The sequence below is a fragment of the Homo sapiens genome, chromosome 5, assembly GCF_000001405.40.
Source record: "Homo sapiens chromosome 5, GRCh38.p14 Primary Assembly".
NCBI lineage: Eukaryota > Metazoa > Chordata > Mammalia > Primates > Hominidae > Homo > Homo sapiens.
Window position 1 is genome coordinate 114303115 of NC_000005.10, and position 23492 is coordinate 114326606.

General features: G+C 38.7%; 1 protein-coding gene across 3 annotated transcripts in view, besides 1 other annotated feature; it reads left to right on the forward strand.

Annotated features, from left to right (window-relative positions):
- Window positions 1-23492, forward strand: part of KCNN2 (potassium calcium-activated channel subfamily N member 2) — a 440519-nt gene that overhangs the window by 247137 nt on the left and 169890 nt on the right. The window lies entirely within an intron of this gene.
- Window positions 4676-5504: an enhancer, noted in NCBI's record as "OCT4-NANOG hESC enhancer chr5:113643487-113644315 (GRCh37/hg19 assembly coordinates)". NCBI's record gives its function as "activates a minimal SCP1, AML or CMV promoter by ChIP-STARR-seq in primed H9 embryonic stem cells {active_cell/tissue: H9 hESC(primed)}" and the evidence as "EXISTENCE:reporter gene assay evidence [ECO:0000049][PMID:30033119]".

The following is a 23492-nucleotide window of genomic DNA, read 5'->3' on the forward strand; positions in this document are numbered from 1 at the left end:
CTGCTTCTGAAAGCAGGGATAAATATACGTCTTGGGACAAATATAAAAAGGGAGAAGAAATCAGTATACCATATTTATTGCTTTCCTACTTGGTATCAGACACTCTACTTCGCGTTTTATATGTATTATTTCACCTTTTCAGCAAGGCTTTATGATAGGTATTCATTATACTAATTTTTAGATGAGAAATGCTGAACATCACAGTCAGTGTGTAAAGGTGTTGCCCAAGATCTCAGTTACTTAGCTGAAGGGCTGTGATTGGAACACAGATTTACTTGGCTTTAACTCTCTGTAGTTTCTGCTTTAATACACAGCCCAAGTTTGTGTTGAAGTAGGAAGACTTTATGAAGGGAAATTGGTGAAAATTGGTTTATAAAGGCACGCAGAGGCCAGAGCTTGCACGCCAAACCAAAGAGCTTGAACCTGACAGCTCGGAACCACTGATTCACTGGAAGAAAGAGAATGACAGTACATTATTTGGGCTTTTTGAAAATAAATCTTATAATCTTGTGCATAGGGTTAAGGAGACTACATAAAAACTCATTGCAGTAGGTCCAGTAGCAATAAAAATATACTTAATAACTTAAGTTGCAATGCAAATAGTAGAATAAAACAGATTTGAGAGAGGTAGAATGGCAAGACAATAGAAATTAGGGATTGATAGGTGGTAGGGCACTAGAAAAAGGAATGAGATTGTAATGAAAGCATAACTACTGAGGAAGTTTGGAAGTTATTATAGAGTAGATTCAGAAGGAAGGATGATATATTTCTGACATATAGAATTTCTGGAATCAATTCTATACACAGCAGAGATGTCCTCTTGGCAGGTGGAAATTTGTGACTTGCCCTTGGAAAAAGTTTGGGCTGGGATATAATTTAGGAGTCATTTACATAAAAAGAAATTAACTGTTATATACTTTATTTTGAATAAAATTACTTAGAGAGGGAAAGTGTAGTTAGAAAATAGAGTTAGACTAAGCTCTGCCCACTGGAAGAATTTCCCTTCATTACTGTTCTTTAGGGCTACTCCTGGTGGGAGGGATATAGACAGTAGCAACCTATTTTCAGCTAGAGCCAACATAGCGGGCCAACCCATCTGGGAAACAGGTTTGAGGTTTTTTTCCTCCATCAGCTGGCTATAAGACAGTTTTTACGAGGCCATAGTTGTAAATTATTGGAGGAGAGTTGGTGCAAAAAAGGTAGGTGTCATGGGAGTCTGGGCCATCTTATCATGCAACTTCTTTAGGCCTTTTGGCCCCACTCAGACTAAATGTGAATGTACCATTTTTGCAGTGCAGTTGATTGCTACTGAGCCTACCCACCCTTATGATTTGGCGAATCTTATAATATCCAGCTCATGATGGGAACTTGGATCACACAGTCACTTGATGGTCCATCATCAAGTGCTTCATCTTGACCAGGGCAGACTAGCGTGCTGGAAGCTGTTTATCAAATGGCAAGTAGTTCTCTGCCTCAAAAGGTGTGGCCTTACTCCAGAATCCTAAGGGTCTGTGCTGCAATTCTCTTCTGGGGCTGAGACTCCACATAGCATCCTTAGCCCTAATAGTAGAACTCTTGCCAGAATGGCAGACAGCTTGTACCATAACCTGAACCTGAAGCAGAACCCCTTCTTCCATGGAACCCCCTCAAAATTGAGAACTTTTCAAGTCTTCAGAAAGATAGGTCAGAGAGATTTTCCCAAGTAGTGTACATGTTACCTTCAAAATCCAATGATATCTACCAAGTGCTGTGCTTGCTTTTGAGTGTTAAGGGTTTTGAGTTGCAACACTTTGTCTTCTGCCTTGGAGAGGATGACTCTGCCTGCCATTTGACCACTGGGCCTCTAAAGTATTTGCCAAAATAACAGATTGCTGATTTTTTTTAAGATTATATCAGTCAGCGTCTAATCGCAAGATGGAAACCACACAATAATTTGAACAGGGAAAGTTTAATATTAGAAATTCTTAACTATAATAGGAGACTATAAAGATTTAAACAGAACTCTAGAGGATAGCCTAACGTTGAAGGAAAATATGCAAGGGAAAAATAATCGTGTTTGGTAGGGGCAGGGGGTAGTCTCCTCAGCAAGGCTGGGATTCAAATTCTCAGAAAAGGTGCAGTTAGTTGCAGCTTCCTGGATGGTAAAGAAATTCACTGGTTTGCCTAGGCCAGAGATGGCCTACGATCTCTGAACAAACAGGAGATACCTCTCTGGAATGCAGGCAGGCCAAGGCAGGCTGGTGGGTGGGCTCACATAGAGTGTTAGGCTCAGGAGCCTGCTTAACATGGAGTGGGGGTTCCTTCCTTGGGATGTATGTTATCTCTGTGTTGGGGTACCAAGAGAAATAAACCTCCAGGCTGTGGATGGGTCAAGGGAGTCAGGGCATCAGGAGCTTGCTCACCTTCAGGGTAGCACAGAGCCTGAGGATCTGTATATACATCCAGAGGGCCTCAGCCAGATGGTCTCTGGGCCACGGCTAGGGCTGAGGCTGCAAGTTCCCAAAGGGATTGTGGGTACTGGGGGTGCTGCTATGGCAAGGCACTGCTGGATGTCCACACATACATACACACACACTCTCTTCTGCTAGTTGCACAGTAGGAACAAAAAGAAGCAAAACAGCAGCACAACTGGACCAGGAAGAGAAACCCCTTTCTCCTGAAATGTCCCTCCAGTGCCCTCTATTGACAAAGATTAACATGCTCACTGCAAAGGAGAGATTCTTAAATGTTTCCAGTCCACTACCAGAAAATAGGTTTATAGGTCTAAAAGGGCAGATAAAGCAATATACTTGTAAGTGACAGAGGGATTAAACACTACCCTGTGGCATGCATATTTTTTATTAGGGTAATTTTTGTTTTCTGATCATCAGGTCTAATAACATGATGTCATCAACTGTAGTGAAACAGCATAATATTCTTTGGTATGTCAAGGTGATCAAGGTTTCTATAGATTGCATTATGACAGAGAGAAGTAGAGTTGTCATAGCCCTGGAGCAACACTGTGAATTTGAACTGGTATCTTTACTGCATAAAAGCAAACTGCTTTTGATTTCCTTTACTGATGGTGATTAAGAAAGACACATTTGCCAGCTATATAGCATTCACCAGATCTGCCTGCCAAGTGCCACAGTCTATGTTGATCTCTCCAATAAGGATAGCACATTCAGCACAGCAGCTGTGACTGGGGCTACTACTTGGTTAACTTTATAGGTGCCCACTATCATGTATCATGCTGTATCTGGTTTTGCAGAGGCCAAACAGATAAATTGAATTAAAGTCCCTGGTAGTGATACTAATCTCTGCAATTCTGGAACATGACATTGTTTCTAATTTGCTATGTAATTGGAGGTGGGGTGGTTATAAGGCTCTCATTTGGCTCTTTCTACAAAAATGATTCATGCTTTACTGGTCAGAGAACAAAAGTAAGAGTTCTGCTAGATACTAATGATATGTAGCTCAATTATACTTTTAGGGACCAGGAAAATAACCACAGGATGGGTCTGAGGACCTGATGGAAATGTATTTAGGGCAGAAGTACCTTTACTACCCACCTTTCATCAGTTCACACTTAAATTTTTTTTTTTTCTTTTTTTTTTTTTTTTTTGAGACCAAGTCTCGCTCTGTCACCCAGGCTGGAGTGCAGTGGCACGATCTCAGCTCACTGCAACTTCCGCCTCCCAGATTCAAGTGACTCTTCTGCCTCAGCCTCCTGAGAAGCTGGAACTACAGGCACACACCATCATTCCCAGCTAAGTTTTTGTATTTTTTTAGTAGAGACGAGGTGTTGCCATGTTAGCCAGGCTGGTCTTGAACTCCTGACCTCAGGTGATCCACCCACCTTGGCCTCCCAAAGTGCTGGGATTACAGGTATGAGCCACTTTAATAAAGGGGCTTTAATAAAGGGGCTGTGATCATGTTTTGGTTCCCCTAGTATCAGTGTTAGACCCTGTGTTCCATAGTCCTTGCAAAGTCTATATATTATCTTTGACCCAGTGCAGTTATCTGTAAGTGGCTTTAGGTGTTTTCAAGAAAGGATAATAAGAATATTTATTTACACATTTATGGTGTCATTGGGTTATCTCAAGTTCTCCCAGCCTCCTCATCAGTCAGTGGGTTCTCAGTCTGTGAACTAACTTAGATCTGGAGACTGAATGAGGAATCCTGATTTATTGCATTGCAGCAACTGACATTATCATTCTGCTCACCAACTCCTGGTTTAAAAGAAATAAGCAACACACTAATTATGTATGTTTATATATGTATTGCTCCTAGTAATGCTAGGTCCTGTGGGTCTGATTGCTACGCCGGTCTGGCCTTCTTGCCTGTTCTGATAATTTTGTCAACCTTTCCTCTGATGCTTAAATGCCACCCACCTTACTTTTGCCATTCTAGAATCATAGCCTCATTGATACTGTAAAACCCAGTGCCATGGTCACATCTCTTATAGTAAACTGTGTCCTATAGGAGACAACTCTCACTGTGGTCTCAAAGATGTCAGTATTCTCTTACCAGTGTATTCCTGATTACCTTAATGAAAGGACAATTATCTAGACCTTTCTGGAAATAGTCAGGGGTGAGTTCTCTGATCGTATATAATAAATTCATTCTAACATTTCTACCTCCTCAAGCCATCTACCCTCAGTAATCTGCCAAGACAGTTTTAGCATCTCCACCTTATTTAATATTGGCCATCATTGAGGCCAAGCTTCAATGAACCATCCAGCAGCATATTAGGACTGGATCCATGGGTGCCTGCCAGGACTTTGAACATCAGCTTAATTCCTCCTTATACTTCCTATTCAGCTTGATTCCTCCCCATACCCCAATCAAAAATCCTCATGATCCACTCCTATACATAATCTACTCATTCCTCCTGATACACACACACATACACATATATATGTATATGTGCATATGTCAGCCAGTCCCTTTGTTGTATAAATTATTTACTCCCGAGAAGAAACTATGTTTTTCCTATCAGGCTTTGCTGAAGTTTCTCCTATCTAGCTCATGTCAATTTATCACAGCTGAGAACAATTGTGATGCCACCACATGCTGGGGATTACCACCACCCACTGACCATCAACAATGGGATCTGCATTGCTATTTGACTGGTAGGGGATCTAGCTCCAAAAGCCCATTGTCATATCTTTGTACAGCCAATCCTGATACCTGCTGTTTTATCCTTGGTCTCCCTTAAAGTCAGCTTGAGATGAAGCCTTGTATAAGAGCAGTTTAATTTGGAAGTGATTCTAAAGAGTGGGAATGAAGGAGTTGGGAAGTGAAGCAGAGAAGAAGAGAGACTATACAATATTGCATTATCAAGTTGGCCATGTTGCAGGTGACTGATGCTTGATCCTGTATTTGTCAAAAGTAGCCTCACGGTCATTTATTCTCTTGAACTTCTAGGTTACATATGTGTATCAAGCATGTTACCACACCTCAGTATCAGAGAACCACTAGAACAGGAAGCAATAGCACACAGTTCAGGTTGAGATACTGTCATAGCATGTGTGAAGCTGGCCAAAGCCAGTATGGAATGGGTGGTAATGGTAATGAGTATAGTGAGAGTTGGAGCTGAAAGATGCTAAGTGTTGCATAATAGTTGTGCAACTCACCAAGAGAGCCCGCAGCTAATGGCTCACACCAGGATGGATGGACAGATGGATGGATTAGGACTAAATGAAAAATTTAAAAATCCCTATTTCTCTGTTTCAAGTCTTGATTTATAAAACCAAAATATTATGCTACATTATTCCTTTCTGAAGAGAAGAGTGAAATTTTGCTAATAATTATAATGTATAGAAAACTTATTTTCGTGTTCTAACAACTCTCTGTCAAAGGAATTGGTTATTGTACAGCTTTATTTACTCCGTGACTCAAAATTATTAAAGAAATTGGAATGTTTAATTCTAACACTTGATTTTGGCCTGAAGGAGCTGAAAATTAAATTAATCTTACTGTCTGATTTATATTCTTATCACTAGTGAACTAGCTGCAGATCTATTTAATTTGAAGACTGTTAGCAATTATATTTATTCACTTATGTCTATTTGAAAGCTTGCATATTACCTTTTAAATGCTTCATATGGGCCAACAGTTTTACCCAAGGCAGACAAAATTGGGACAGTATTTTTCAGAGGTAAATAGCGATTCAAAATTAGATTCAAGGTCCGTAACATAACTAGGCTCAATTATCAAGGCCAATTCCAGCATTCAGCTTTATTGCTCACGGGAAGCAGGCTCACACAACAGCAGGTTTTTTAGACTGGATTTTCCTCACAAATTATATATTACCCTGTAAGAAACCAGCATGTAAATTACAAAGCTCATGCCCTGAGTCCAAATTGCTTTGTGTATATGGTGAGTTTAATGTATTTTCCTCAAATATTAGGAGACATGAGGCAACAATTGTTTAGATCATTCCTCTATAGGAAAGGCAGGCAAGTGACACTACAGGCCTGTGGATGTAATGAAGACAAAGGCAGATAAAGTCATTAATTCATTTGTCAGAGAGACCCACTGGGGACCTATCATTCATGCCAGGCTAGGTGCTAACAGGGATATGGAAAGTGGGGAAGAACTAGCTATCTAGGAGAGTCAACCATAAAACACACAGACAGGTGTAATATGAGTATGATGAATGCCATAGTGGAGTGCAAAGTGACTCCTGGCTCAAAGAGTGAAAAGAAAATATGAACAGGTACAGGTGTGACATTGGGAATGGGTTTACAGATAGTCTAGAGTCCAAACTGAACCCTGAAGGGATAGGTTGGATTTTGAAAGACGAAAATAGAGGTGGAATGGCAACAGGTGGAGAGAACAACTCTGCTGTCCTTCAGGTTTCAACCCAAATGCAGTTTATTTCACAAAAGACTTTCCTTACTCCTCTCAAGTTGCAGGACCTAACCCTTCTTAAAACTTTTTGTGCCTCTTCTCTAGCACATACAATTTACTGTCATAGGTTATTGTTCCATGCATATCATAGTGCAAATTTTACAAATTCATATTCTCTTCACCTTGTGAGATTCTTTTTCACCAGTGAAATCCTTCTTTCCACCTCTTGCCAAAGTGCCCTTCTGTGTTTGCATACCAACACAAGAGAGAAAGAAGAGAGAGAGGGAGAGACCACGAGAGAGATGGAGCCACCATGATGCACAGAAACCACAGTGCTCCCGCCCCAGTACTCCACATGGTTAATGGAGTGACCAACACAAACACAAGGCTGCCTTTCAGAGATGCCTTTGTGAAAGAGCAGGTTAGCAGTGCAGAAGTAATACATTTAATTTCCTTTTCTCTATTGAAAAAAATTAAACACATTAAAGTGAGGACCAGATAAACTAAAAGTATCTGATACTTGAATAATAAACACAGGATAGCTCAATATTTGTAGAATGTGTCATTTTCTTAGAAACACAGTTCTGGGGGACTGTGCAGGATCCCCACTGAAGTACTCCAAAGGTTAATTTTTTTTCAAATGACCATTTTTAAAATATGTTCAGAGAAAACTGGGAACTTATGAACAGAGAGATAGGACATAGGAACTGTGACTGTATTAGACAGGAATATTTCGTAATTTATAAGTTCTTAGGAAGGTGACACTTGGTATGAAAATGGCCAGATAAAATTGCACTTTCCTGTGTATTAAGCACAGTTGGAAGCTGAGGGCAAAGTGGGCCATATGAAATGGGAGTCTGTTCAATTCTGTTCCATGTGTCTAGTAAAATGTTCTGTTTTTAAAAAGCAAAACTCATTTCCCTTTCTCTGGGAGCGAGTGTGTACCAGGAAATGAGGTACAGCACTATCTAAGGTACAATATATCATGATGATTTGAGTTTATTCATCAAAGTCTACCCTCTTTTGCTGCCTCTTGACAGTTTCCTGCCTCATACAAGCCTAGAAATGGACAATTTCTGGTGGGAGAATCTAGTTTTCTGCAAATTTGGGCAGTGACTTGGTGAGATAAGCTTATATTAACATGAAACCTAAGTGAACTTTGTTTAAGCTGACCTTGCGTCTCTTTGCATCAAGCATGTATATATATATTTTTAATATTAGGTGTTGGTAAATTTCCTCCTAAAAAGATAATGGCACTGGCTCAAAGTGACTTAGTCCAGACATATTTCTCATATTTGAAGAAAGAGGTAAAAATGTAAATAAAATAGTCTTTCATTTACTGTCTCATTTGTGTTGATGAAGCTACTCTTTAGATTCTGGAAATTAAAGTGATTCTACTAGCAATGACTACTTTATAAAATAAGAAGCTCAATAGTTTAGTAGCCACAACCATGGATGTGGAACCTATTCAGCAAACGGCTGCATTTGGCGACTTCCCCTTGGCAGAGTCTTTTTCCTTTATAGTTGGATGAAATTATAATTCTCCTTTTAAAAAATGTATTTTCACTGTTTTTGGCAGGCTCCCTCTCTCTCAGAAAATTATTCTCATGTCATCTCTTTCTACTTTGTGCCTTGCATTGATCTGAAGATTTCTCTTTTCAGTTGCTTTGGTTTTATCAAGCTTTTTGTGCAGGCTACCTAGCACAGAGCTAGGTGCCATTTACCTAGCCATTTACTAGATGCTCAGTTTATTACTGTTGTAACTAATAAGGTCTTTCTGCATAGATTAGAGATGAATCTTTGGTTTCAATTTCAGTACATTCAATTTGGGTTTTCAAGTTCTTGCTTTGCCACCTTCTGTATTTGAAAGATTGGACCAGTTACAATTTCTCTGAGCCTCAGTTCCTCATCTATAAATGAGAAAACTCATGCTATCTCATGTGGCGCCATGAGGCCTAATAAAATGAGGAATGCAATAATGCTTTGGATTCTGAAAGTGCAGTACACACAGTAGCTATTAATATGGAAAGAAAATCCAAACCTCACTATGAATTATTTACCTGTTATCCACTTCTTTTCATATCAGTGAATCAGGGATCTACCTCTAGTGAGTGGATAGAATGAATGGAAAGAAAGCTCTTAGAAGACATGGTAAGAGAAATCTCTCTGGCTTTCAGAGCCTCCTGGTGAGTAGGGCCATTGTAATGCTAATTCACAAGAGGGGTGCTGCCCCAGCTCTCTTCTTGCTTCTTGGCGTGAGTTTTTGGAACAATCTCTTTTCTTCCTGCTGCTGGCTTTTTGAACAGGCTGTCCAGGCATTTTCAATTTGGCAACCAATGCAATAAATTACTTCTTAAAATAACTCAAATCACTTGATTTGGCTTGCCCCTAAGACATTTCTCCTTTGATTCATCCTGTGAAATAAAAAAGGAGATACACACACACACACACACACACACACACACACACACACACACACACACATATATATATATATATATATATATATATATATATATATATATGGATCCAGCCTAGTCCATCTTCTCTTGTACAAACCCCCATATGGTCAAGAACCCAAGTGTTGCCCTTTTCCAGAACAGTTTACTCTGCCCAAAATTCTTAGCAGTAATGTCTAAGCCCTTCTAAGTGTTGAATGCAACCCCTGGAAAATTTGTATTTGCAGAGGTATGTAAGCTATCCTTGTGTAAATTCCTCTAGGGGTTAAGCCCTAATGATTGTGGAAGAAATAAAATGGAAAAATCAGATATAACTGGAGAGGATTGCACTTGACATAATTTCCTAGCAACCTCCCAGTTTTCAAGGCAATGTTTATTTTATGTGCTGCCTTTCAAAGTGATGCCTTTAATGTTATTGCTATGTAACATGGCTAATTTTCTCAGTAACATATGTAGCCCAAGGAAGATCTGTGATAAGACTGGAAAACACAAGTTGTCAGTAATTGCACAGTGCCTAGTTAATTACATTTTAAGCTAGAAACACGTTTTTCTCATTTGCTGTATTGCTGTTATATTTATAAGCTACCCTGCCTCTCTGGAACCTTGTTTTGATCTCTGTAGAAAAAGGAATATTAGTCTGAGTCTCTGTTATGTTTTCCCTTTGTTTTTGTTCATTTGGCTCCCACTTACATGGCTCCTGTACTGTACATTTAGCTTCATCATTCAGACATTTATTCTGAAAGCCATAGATTTTTCATTTTCCTGTTTCCATCTGCTGGAACATTGAAGATTGTCACCTCCTTCAAATTAAAGTAGACCTTCTCATTCACAAGGGAATCTTCCCAAGGTCTTCAAGAATCCTCAGTTATTAACTTCAAGGAACATTTAATTCCCCCCTCCACACAACAGTTAACTATAGCTGAAAATTTTAATTGAACTCTTCAGACCCTTAATAATTCTAGATGTACAAGCTTAAGTCATTTGTATGTATATAGCTACAGAAACAAAGCCAGCAACTAAAATAAGCTCAATCCTGTATTACATTATATTCTTTTGCTAGTAACTTAAATCAGCAAAACTGCTACAGTGATGATAAAAAGGTGCTGACGTGTGGACAAAGATGAAGATGAAGATGAAATGTACTCACAGAAGCACGAAGTTTGGTCACAGCAGTTCACTCAGGAAGGTGACCCTGAGATCTGGGCCAATCTACAAGATATCCAAGGAGATGTTCTGCCTTCAGCCTCTTTAGACTATAAATCATCTTTTTCCTTCTTGGATAAGCACATTTGCAAAAGGCATCTTCCCTTTAATATATGTCTGTTTCCTCTCTTTAACTCTGAAGACAGGCTTTTGCAGCTAAGTGGTTCTCTCCTATTAATTTCATAGCATGGAATACTTCCTAAAGTTTACTCATGGAAAAGGTCAGTGTAATTCATAAGAATCAGTCTCAAAGTCTCACTGGTTGCTTCATGAAATGTTTTTACGGGCTTTTTGCTTCTTCTAAAATCACTTTTTAGTTAAACAGTGTTTTTTTGTTGTTATTGACAAAACCAAATAACTACTTAATCAACTTCGATGAACGTTTCTTTTTCGGTTTGATCAACAGCTTTGGCACAGGGAGTAGCACTCACTAAAATGATTTCGTGGATCACTTTTCTTGTTTCTACAGTTTTTGTGTAGCTGTTCATGTTGTATAGGACATGAACAAAATGAGGTGGGAGCCGCCTCCTAACAACTTTTCAATAAAATTAATAGACTTTATTTTTAGAGCAATTTTAGGTTACTAAAAAGTTGAGCAGAAAATACACACAGAGTTCCTATATATCACTTCCCCCCTGCATAGTTTCGCTATTAACACCTTGCACTGGTGTGGAACATTTGTTTCAATTGATGAACTGATATTGATGCACTTTTGTTAACTAAAGTCCATATTGTGTGTTAGGGTTCTCTCTTTGTGTTGCACTGTTCTATGGCTTTTAACAAATATGTAATGTCATATATTTACCATTGCAGTGTCATACAGTTTTTCTACCCTAAAAATGTCCCATGTTTTACCTATTCCTCTTTTCCCCACCCTTAAACCCTGGCAACCTCTGATCTTTTTAATCCTCTCTATATTTTTGCCATTTCTCATATAACTTTTCACTTTAAAAATTTTTTACTTTCTGGCTGAGAAGCATGCCTTTTACTTATGTTATTTTCCCTTCATTTTCCTCACTGAACTAGCAGAAGATTTTCTTTTCAGAAAGAATATAAATTTTACCACCAAAAAGTTATTGTACAGGCAGCCAAAGTGTAGAATAATAATAGCCAGCCTGAAGTGTAGTTGTTTAGAGATAACCCAGGCCCACTCACTTGCCAAGTGACTCCTTCTTGCACATTACACTTTGAAGCATAAGATTCAAACTAATTCATTTACAAAACAATAAATTGCTACATGGCATGGACCTTAAGGTGCTCTTGAGGACCCTCTAAACATGAGGGTTAAATCCACAAATGCCAAAATGAACTAAAACCAGTATATTTGAGCATGTCACTGAGGCTAGTTCCTCTAACAAGAACACAGAGGTTTGATTGCTGCCTCCTCATCCACAGCTGAGCTTGATTCATAGGCTACTAAATCAACAGGATCTGATGGTAATGGTGACTCCAACCTAGGTTTCTTATATTGGGAGCAAACAGGAACCAGAATCTGTGCTTCACTGCTCTCAACCATCCTTGTCCCAGGAAGACTTGAGCACCTTCCATTCTTCTGTTCTTCTGTGGCCTTGTATGTTGTGTTGTGGGTTATGTTTCTCATAAACTATTATACCTGGTGAATTCAATTAATTCAAGCAACATTCTCACCAGTTACAGGTACTTAATAGTTTGGGTTCTTTGGATATATCTGGGCAAATATAGGGCTCGTATTTATTTTATAGAGATACCAAAGAGACAAGTGTAATGCCTAGCATGGAACACACTAAAATAAGCAGGTTTAGAGTGTACCACCCATGGAAGGCAGAAACTGTGTGTGTGTGTGTGTGTGTGTGTGTGTGTGTGTGTGTGTGTGTATATATATATAAAACTTCTGTTTTAAAAGTGGACTATTCTTATTATTTGTGATTCATGTTCATATTTTATTACTTATTTTAGTGGTTTTAAAATAAATTTACTATATTTTCACATTTCACAAAATCACTAACATTGATTACATATAGGCATAGTTGTCATCTCCCATTACAGAAAATTCAGAGAACTATCCAGATTTCTTTATTTTGTTGGATTTGTTGGATTTGGGTTAGTCAAATATTTTGCTTATTGAAATGATGTGTTTATTGAAATAGAGTAACCCTGTTAACATACTTTTTAAAGGTTATATCAAGAAATATGTAATAGAAACAGATAAAAAGCACTTTGGAGTTCTCTGGGTCCTTGATAGAGAAGCCTTTCTGTGGAGTGACCTTATTGGAACATTCAAATCCTAGAAGCAGAGTTACCTAAGATATGCTGAGATATAGAGTAGGGAAGCTGTTAGGAATCAGATATTGTCCTGAGGATGGGAGTTGGAAGGAGGCAAAAAAAACCATTTGGTCTGGGCCTTGTATTTACCAAGGAACCTCAAATTGAGAGACTATCTTGAAATAAGTTTACTCATGCAGCAATAAGAAACACAGCACTGAAAGATATTCATCACACACGCATATAGTGTGTGTGTTGTAACCTGTTTTAGCATATCTTCCATCTATCAGGAGCCCCTAAATTAAATTGCCAGGAGCTCTTCTGACTTATAGGAGATGCAGCATGGTACCTTATAAAATTAATAGGTGTGGATTGTTATAAATTTATTTTTAGTAATAATTTTTCCCATGACATCCTGTACAGAGTCCCAAAATATAAGACAAATAGAAGCAAAACTATTCTCTTAGAATCAAAGGTCACTGGAGCCCCCTCCTGGCCCCTGAGCTTGTAGCTAAGATACATCTGAGGAAACTTAAGACTTCAGAAAACAAGATTTTGAAACCGCTAGACTAGCTTAACGCCCTTGATTTACAGATACCAACGTGTAGGCTCAAAGAAGTTAGGTATTGTACTCAACATTGCCCAGCTGGGGAGAAGCAGACCCGCAGATACACAATTGTTGGGTACTTTTCCAGCAGTAGGAATTGCTGAATAATAGTTTCACTTTGATCCTGTGTTATTCTGGATTCAGAAACCCAGAGTTCTCAGGAATAATGGTGTATGAAAAGCTGTTAACATGGTCCCCAAAATAAATGCATATGAAAAATGTAACCCAATCAGTCATATTACAAAACCATATCTCTAAATCATTAATACATATCGCTATCTAGTCCAGCCATGATTTAAAACACGCTCTAATGCAGTTATAATATTAAGGCATATATGTGTGTGTATGGACTCAGGTCTGGCCATCTGTACTCATCTGTGAATATAAGTATAGTCAGTCATACCTGAGTCCACATGCACAAGAAAAAGGCAAGGAAAGGAACAGTCCAGGGTGTTCTTTGAAAACTGCAGTCATTTGGTAAATGATTATGGAATAAATTCCAAACCTTGAGCTCATGCTAAGGCCCTTTGAGATCAGCAAGTGCTTTCCAGAAGGGGCTTTTCAGCAGAGTGACATCCTTGCAGCTTTTTCCCAGATTTTTTTTTCACTTCCTTCAATTCCTTCATCTCTCTTCCTAGTGAACTTCTACTGGCCCTATGCTATTACTATAACTTTCTGCTTTTGAGCCATGGCCCCTTGAGATCTTGGAAAAATAAAAAGAAAATAGAGCCTTGTCTGGACTATAGAGATTTGGAAGCTTATTGATCCAATTTTTTTTTTTTTCAGGAAGCCAGCTTTGTAATGTCTCAAGCCTATCTTAAGGAAATACACTTTTTTACAAAGCTTATATCGTCGGACCTGCAGTGTCTTGTTGGCTTGCCTTTTCTAATTCACTTTTAGTTTAGGCAACCCCTCACAAGGTAACTTTGACTTCAGAGATCCCAGCTTCTTAATCAAAATATCTGAAATCGCTCATGCCAATTATATTATTCATTGTTTAAAGTGTGCAATGATAGCAAAAATCATCCATTCTTTCTTAGACTATACTTGTTGATCTCAAATCTGTTTTATCTGGAAATTAACCTCTTTCTGACTTACATTTTTTGGGGGACTTTCTGATCCCATTCCCTCCTCTGTTTTTGGCTGTAGCTTTCTCATGGTGGTGTTGACCATTCTGAAGAGTCCTGCACCTCCATGAGTTATGTGCTACAGAAAGTCTTAGAGTGAGGAGGAATTTTGGAAGTAGATCCTATGTCACAGGAGAACTCAGGTGACAATTCAGAGCAAAGAGATGAAATACCAGTAGAAATAAAAGTAGCTTACACATTAGCCATTATGCTAAATTCTACAATACTCACATATTTAGCAAAATGGGCATGTTTCTTAGCGACTGCCTGCCGCAGGCAACGTGCCTGCCCATCTTCACGGCAGCACAAGTATGACTATGAAATGAGTTGTAAAGCACTGAAGAGATAAGAGATAAGGGACTGGGAGGGGGCAGGGATAATGAGCAAACGAAAGCAACAGATCAACAGTACACGTGGATGTTTATTATGGTGTACTAGAAGGATAAGTCCATTCACATTCCCTGTGTTTTTTTGTTCCATCTCTGCACTATACTGATTGTCTGCTCTTTACCTGACACTGTCCTACTCATCTCCTGTCTGCTCTTCAGTTGGACTCATTATATTTCTACTTTCTGGAGATGCTTATTAGTTTAGTTTCCTTTTTGCTTAGGCAGGATAATGCTGTGTTTTAAGGAAAAGGCAATACAGTTTAAAGACAGGTTCTCTAAGTGCCCTACCTTCAGATTTTACCCATACTTTATTTTGGAATATTATCAAATCCTTATTACCATTGTCAAATCCTTATTACCACTCATTGTTGTTTGTTTGATGTTCTCATCAAAAATATTTTTTTCCTAGTAAAATCTGAAGGATGGCCACTTACATACGTATTAATAGAGTATATATCTTGTTTAAGGTATGTATTTATAACCCCAGATCTGAAAAAGTTGAAACTTCTGATAATGTATGAACTGTAGCTATATTGTACTATATTATACCACTATATATAATCATACACTTATCATAACAATGATAATATCATAATGTAATTTTGTATTATATAAGAATACATAATTGTATATGATAATTCATATATAATTATTATGTATAATTTATTATACCATATTATTGTTCACAGGCTGGCAGGCACTGTAATTACATTCTTTCTGTAATCTAGATTTACTCAGGGTTCACTGACTAAATTTATACACTGTGGGTATAAATCATAGTTACAGTTTAGATTCTCTTCCTTCATAAATGTTCTTCCATAATCCTTGGATTATGCTTCTGGGAAATCTTGTTTCCTATATAAGCATGTATTATGTTCATATTTTGATTGTGTTCCTTTTAATTATTCTCACTGAACTATTTCAGTATTACAGCTGAAAAAGACATTGGAGAGTGGTGATTGAACTGTGGGTAAACTGAGGCTCAAAGATACTGAGTGAGACATCAGCCATGCCACTCTGCGATTTTATCATTCATTCTTCTTTCTTCTGTGCCCCCAACGTACACAGACCTCTGTATAAATCCTGAGGCTAAGGGGTATATTCAGGAATATACTCATTCCCACCCAGAGACTGAGTGATTACCAAGAATAGGGGAGACAAAATAGATTAAGGATGGCCTTCATATTCTGAGCGGGAAAGCAGCTAAGTCCACTGGCCCCTTCTTACAGTCAGTTTCCCACCACTGGTCTTATCTGCACACTGAGGTTCTTCCAGCCCTCTCCATTGCTGTGTCTACCCTGAATCTCCCTGCAGGGAGGCTTCTTAAGGGGATGAGCTGTTTCCCTGAAGAGCCCTATGAAGACAGAGAAAGCAGAAGCTACACAGGTATATCTCCGTGCAGTTCATACCCAGCCTTTGGTACTGCCTTTCTGTCATCAGTTGGCTGTTTGCCTCAGCACAGTGGAAATTCATCATAGAAATGAACTCTGTCATATATAGCAATTTAGAATACAGCCTGAAGCTCAGAGTGATAAAGGAGGATGGTTTTATGCCCATAAATATATTTAAAGCTGAGGTGAGTTGCTACTAGAAAATCATTGTTTTATATGTAAATCTCTACTCCTTTGCCATGGTTATTATAAATAAATCTTTATATATTCAGGCAAAAGTCTGACTTAAGTTGCACATCCAGGTTAATCTGAATGTAATATAACACAATTGCTCCTCGCTTCTAAATCAAACACTGTAAGATATAATGCTTGATAATGTTTCATTATTATGCCAAAATGTCAAATTTTTCTCTTTTATTAAGGTAAGTTCAAATCAAAGATGCTTTGTCCCATCACATGCTGTCTCATTCTATAATATTTTTATGTGCTAATTGTGACTCATATAATCTGCTTACAGAAACTCTCCATTTTCTTCCTGGTTGTTAGTCAAAGGAAGGAATCCAGTGTTTCCTTTGATACAGAGCTCTGAGAAAGACTTCTATTTTCAGTTGTCTGTTTCACTTCCTTGAAGCTCATGGGAATTGTGGACAAAATGTTTACCCATTGTTACTCCACCATCTTTTTTTAAAATGGAAATTTTAACACATAAATAGAAACAGATCCCCTTCTTCATATCCCCAAACATGAATGAGTAATCATAAAACAGGAAAAGATTCGAGTACAGTCATATAACTGATGTATTAAATGGGTGAATTTCATAGAGTAAAATCAACATACCCTGTCCTTCCTTGGGTCTGGATGTTATCACAGCCATGTCCCAGACCTTTTTTTGGTTCTACAGGGTATTAGATTAGTGAGGGTTAAAAAAAAATTTTAGTCCAATTTAAAGAAAACATTCATCCAGGCCGGGTGCTGTGCCTCACGCCTGTAATCCCAGCACTTTGGGAGGCTGAGGCGGGCGGATCATGAGGTCAGGAGATCAAGACCATCCTGGCTAACATGGTGAAACACCGTCTCTACTAAAAAATACAAAAAATTAGCCAGGCCTGATGGTGGGTACCTGTAGTCCTAGCTACTCGGGAGGCTGAGGCAGGAGAATGGCGTGAACCCGGGAGGTGGAGCTGGCAGTGAGCCGAGATCGCGCCACTGCACTCCAGCCTGGGTGACACAGCGAGACTCTGTCTCAAAAAAAAAAAAAAAATGTTCATCCAATCCCAAGCCCCTCCCTCTCCACCAGATCTGGCCCAACTAGTGATCCCACAAGCAGGTTTGGAGGGGTAGGGTGCATGGTTTGTTCCTCTCCATCCTTCATGTATCTTCTTCTCCATTCATTCCAGAGAAAGCATAAGGATAGAGATAGTGACAGGTAAAAGAATAGTGTTGTTTGTTTGTTTGTTTTTAGTTGATGCTATCTTTTTCAGTTCTTTTAACTGTCAAGTATCCTGTCATGGAAATCATTGAAATGTTAGCTTTTTCATGAGGTTCAAGAGGAAATACCCCATCCACAGATCTCTGATGTCCCCACATTGCACAGATCTCTGATGGAATGCGAAAGGCTCCAGCTGAGCCCTTAGAATCCTCCCATGCTCCTGCTGTCCCTGTGGGTAGAAAGAAAAGTAGCTTACACATTAGCCATTTCACTCAATTCTACAATTGTTTCCCACGTCTTTGCATAGAGAGGTCCTTTTAGGATGCCTTTGAACCCAGGTACCTTCTTAGCATTGAGTTGATTGCTGGGGAAGTCTTGCTTTTCCAAACCATAGAAGTACAATTTACCCCCATTGTTCTTCTCTCTCCTTACCTTATATTGAGGGTTTGTTCTACTCAATTTTTCACCTTAATCTTCTCTATATAAGGAGTCTTGTGTTCATGTGTGCCCCCAAACTCCAAGACTCCCAAGCTCTGCTAAGAACTCTTTAGTGCCCTTCATCTTCTGGTAGCAGCATGGGGCAGGTCTACATGTTTCTAAAAGCTCAGGAACTGTGGTGCAGGTTGGGGGTTGAAGGATATACAGATCTCCTCATCTGGAATACAACTCTTTTGTCTATAAGTAGCTCTCTTGGAGCCCCCTCACTTGACTTGGTGGCAGGAAATGAAAGCACAGGGAAGGAAGGGTAAATTCCAATGTTCTCAACCATGAAAAATCCTTCATTGTTTCCTCTTTGTAATGGACCTCTTGCCATCTCTTACATCAGTTCTCAGGTATAATGTTCACTGGATTTGTTTTTTTTTTTTGTTGTTGTTTGTTTGTTTGTTTTGAGAGGGGGTCTTTGTTCTGTCCCCCAGGCTGGAGTGCAATGGCATGATCTCAGCTCACTGCATCCTCTGCCTCCTGGGCTCAAGTGATTCTCCTGCCTCAGCCTCCTGAGTAGCTGGGATTACAGGCACGTGCCACCATGCCCGGCTAATTTTTATATTTTTAGTAGAGACGGGGTTTCACCATGTTGGTGACCTCAGGTGATCTGCCTGCCTCGGCCTCCCAAAGTGCTGGGATTATAAGTATGAGTCACCACACCTGGCCGTCACTGGATATTTCACAGAAGCTGTGAAGATGTATTTAGCTTCTGTCTTCAGAATGTGGTAGAATTTATTACCCAGTTTCCTCAGCTTAGAAGTTTTCAATAACATTCTAAGACAACTGGAAGTTCTCTCCAATATTCTGTTACAATAAAACTCACAATTAAGCTGCAAATAACATGAAGACACCAGTTTAAATTTTCCATTTCTTGGGTGTATTTCAAAATTAGTTTATTTGTAGAATCTACTGTAGTAAGTTCCTCAACCAGAAAATGACAGAATGTTGGGGCTTAAAGAGACATTAAAATTCTTCTAGACCAACCATTTCATTTATTGGAAGACAAATAATGTCTAGTAAGTAGAGAAAGAAAGGCTTGTAATTGTTTGTAATGATCTTTGACTAAAAACTAGGATTTTTCTTAATGTATTCTCTGAAGTCTACTTAGAAGGTAAATTTTCAGAACCTGATGGAGACCCAAATCTCATATAGTCATATCTGTTTATTTTATGTGAAAACACTAATTACAGTTCAAAGATTATAAATAAAATATGTTCATTCCAAGTACTCTTTTCATTGAACTTCAGGACACACTGCATGCATACATGTGCACATATGCATACACTCCCCCATACACACACACACACACACACACACACACATACACACTTGATTCCAGGACAGCTGAGTAACAGAGTATTTTAATTGATGCTGCAGCTAAGCATGTGAAAGGTTTGAAAGCGACAGAAACTGATCTCAATGAACCTTTGTGATCTTGTACAGTCTCTCCCTTGTTATTTATTTGAGATGCTAAGTATAACTTTACATTTTGATGGTAATATATTTTAAAACATAAAATGCTTCTTTTTTAACTTTTATTATAGGTTTGAGGGTACATGTAAAGGTGTGTTACATAGGTAAACTCATGTCACAGAAGGTATTGTACAGATTATTTCATCACCCAGGTATTAAGCCCAATACCCAATAGTTATCTTTTCTGCTCCTGTCCTCTTCCCACTCTCCCCGTCAAGTAGACTCCAGTGTCTTTTGTTTCCTTCTTTGTGTTCATAAGTGCTTATCATTTAGCTCCTGCTAATAAGTGAGAGCATGCAGTATTTGGTTTTCTGTTTCTGCATTAGTTTGCTAAAAATAAAATGCCTATGCTTCTTTTAAGTGAATCCATGCTCCTCCTGGAAAAAGAGGAACCCCGGTTTACATTACAGGTACCTAATTTCAAAGCTACCATAAACAGTAAAGCTCCTCAGTAGGAAACTGCAAAGCACAGTGGTTAAGAGCATCGTCTCTGGAGTCACATTTCCGGAGTTTAAACCTGTGTTAGTTACTACCCAGCTGTGAAACTTCAATAAAGTTGCTTGATGTCTCTGTGCCAGTGTTTTCTCATCTATAAATTAGAAATAATAAGAGTGTACTCATTTCATTTTGGTACCATCATAAGCACCAAATACTGCACTTATCATGAGTTGACATTTCAAGTTCAGCCACTTAAGCTCTTAAATCTTTAAAGATAATAAAACTAAAAAAGTAATGAGAAAAATGTTTATTTTTTCATGTACAGTATAAATTGCATTAATTTAATAAAAATTCACATCTGTAAGATATGGTATGATTTGTTCTTTTCTCTTTGGAAAACATGACAGAAACCATGTTTAGTATAGAGAATAAGTATCATGATATAAACATATCAATTTTTTTTTTTTTTTTTTGCTGGTCGGGATGGAATCTCTCTCTGTTGCCAGCCTGGAATGCACGGCCTGATCTCAGCTCACTGCAACCTCCGTCTGCCCGGTTCAAGAGATTCTTCAGCCTCCCGAGTAGCTGGGACTACAGGCATGTGCCACCATGCCCAGCTAATTTTTGTAGTTTTAGTAGAGATGGGGTTTCACCATGTTGGCCAGGATGGTCTTAATCTCTTGACCTCATGATATGCCCGCCTTGGCCTCCCAAAGTGCTGGGAGCCACTGCACCCAGCCTGTCAAATATTTTAATATGTGAAACAGTGATATCTGAAAGCACATTGTGTTCTATAAGGTCCTATAAAATATTAAATGTTATTACTATAATTATAAACCAAATCTTCCTAGAATCTAACAGACTAACAGGTATTCACAGAGTATGAGCTAAAAAGCAATACATCAAAATAATTGTTAATTTGACCATTTTTTTGTCATCTTCATTAAAGAATAACTTTTATTAGGATGTATTCTTCATACGTTGTACCAACACCTATGAAATATAAATTAAATAGTATTGTGGTAAGCAGAATAATGGGCTCCCCCTTGTCCTAATCACGAGAACATGTGAGTATGTTACTTTATATGAAATAAAGGTCTTTGCAGATATGATTAAAATTAAGAACCTTGAGATATGGGGCTTATCCTAAATTACATGGGTAGGCCTAATTTAATTACACACATCCTTAAAAATAGAGAACCTTATTGGCCATGGTCAGAGTCAAAAGCAGATGTGACTATGGAAGAAGGGAAAAAATGATGTCATCTTGCAGGCTTTGAAGATGAAAGAAGGGAATCAGAGCCAAGGAAAATAGATGGCCTCTAGAAGGGTGGAAAACAGCAAGGAAACAGATTCTCCCTGTCAGCCCTGCTGACATCTTGATTTTAGCCCAGTGAAACCCATTTTGGACTTCTAATCTACAGACTTTTACTATAAGAAAGTAACGTTGTTTTAAGCCACTAAGTTTGTGATAATTTGTTACAGCAGCAATAGACAGGAATCCAGATTTTGGTACCTGGAAGTAGGATGCTGCTATAACAAATCCTTGAAATGTGAAAGTGGCTCTAGAATTGGGCAGTAGGCAGAAGCTGGAAGAATTTTCATGAGTGTTACAGAAAAAGCCTAGATTGCCTTTCACAGGCTGTTAGCAGAAATATGGATGTTAATGGCTCTGCTAGTGAGGACTCAGAAGTAAGTGAAGTACAGGGTAAAGAAAACATAAATGGCCTTAGAGAATACATAAGTCATCATGAACAGACTGTTAGTAAAAATATGGATGTTAAAAGCACTGTTGGTGATAGCTCAAAAAGAAATAAGGAACTTGTTATTGCAAGCTGAAGGAAAGAGGATTGTTCATATATAGTGTCAGAAAACTAAGCAGGATTGTGTCCTACAGTTATGTGGAAGGCAGATTTTTTAAATGACGAGGAGATTTCCAAATAAAGTGTTGAAGGTACAGCTTTTTTTGTTACTTATGGTAAAATGCAAGAAGAAACAGATAAATGAAGAAAGGAAGAGGAATCAGGACGTGATGATTTGGGAAATTCTGTGTTGAATATATAGCCTGGGTTATTCTTGCTGCTTATAGTAAAATGCAAGAAAAGAGATATAAATTGAGGGAATAAAAAAGAACCAGGATGTGATGATTTGGAAAATTCTCAACCTATCCAGATTGCAAAAGATGCTAAAATTAAATTATTTACTGTCAGAAAAGCATCCATTAGAGAAAAAGCTGAGAGTGTGGCTGCATAGCCTTTTGCTAATAGTTGAGAAACTATTCAGACTAAGAGTATTCAATCACACAAAAGGCACTTGAAAGAGATTAAGAGTGTGACTTACAGATACCCTCAATTAAACCAGGAGTGTTTAGGAAACTTAAAAGCCTTAATCGTCAGCCATCTCAGCAAAAGCCAAAAACAGAGATGGAATTATCTTGGAAAGACCTGTGGACAAGCTTCTTATCTAATGGAGTAAACTCCTATGACATACACCAACATAGTCACCATCTGGTGACTCCACAGTGCTTCAAAGGAGAGAAACAGGAAGCAGAGTTCATGTGAGTCTGGATCTGTGCCCTGGTCTGGGGTGCACTGGAATTCCCCACTGGAACTGCATCTCATCTGGTTCTGTGAACTCAAGGGAGGGGGAATAGAGTAAATTTCCAGGAGTACTTCTGGTTCCTCGTGTCCACGTGGGTCTTAGGGCAGTACTATATACATCAAATGTTGTCTAATACTTCCAGTGGGGTCTGGGCCTGTGGTCAAACACTTCAGGTTTTTGGTTTTTGCAGTTAAATGCATGAATTCTCATATTGGTGACATAAATCAAAATTACAAAGTAACTTCAGTTTGGGGTTTTCTGCCAAATGAATTATGAAAAATATTAACACTTTCAGCTTTCAGAATTTGGAAGATTTTGAAATTTGGGGATTGCAGGCACGTGTGTGTGATATTTGTGTGAAGGAGTGGGAGTTTGATACAGACTGAGGAAGAGGGTGAGAATATTTTAGAGGGATGGATTAATTCTGCCTAGGTACATGTGAGGTTAGACCTCAAGTAGCGGGTACATTTTCACAGAGGCCACGGGGATAGGGAACATTCCAGGTTGAGGAAACATGGACAATGGGGCAGAAGGCTGAAAGTGGGAGGTGCGATCTGAGGGCAGTAAGAAGGATGAAGTGGCTGGATATTGGGTGCTCAGGTGTGAGTAGTAAGTGATGGAGCTTCTGCTGGATTGGGAAGGCAAAAGAGTGTGGCTTTTGTTCTATACCAACATGAGCCATCAGAGGCTTCCAGATAGGGAGTGCCATGGCCAGTTCTGCCTGTGGGTCCATGTTCAAAGGTGAGTGCCTCTAGAAAACTGCTTCTGCACAATTCCTCTGAAAGCCCGTGAAAGACCAAACCTTGCCACA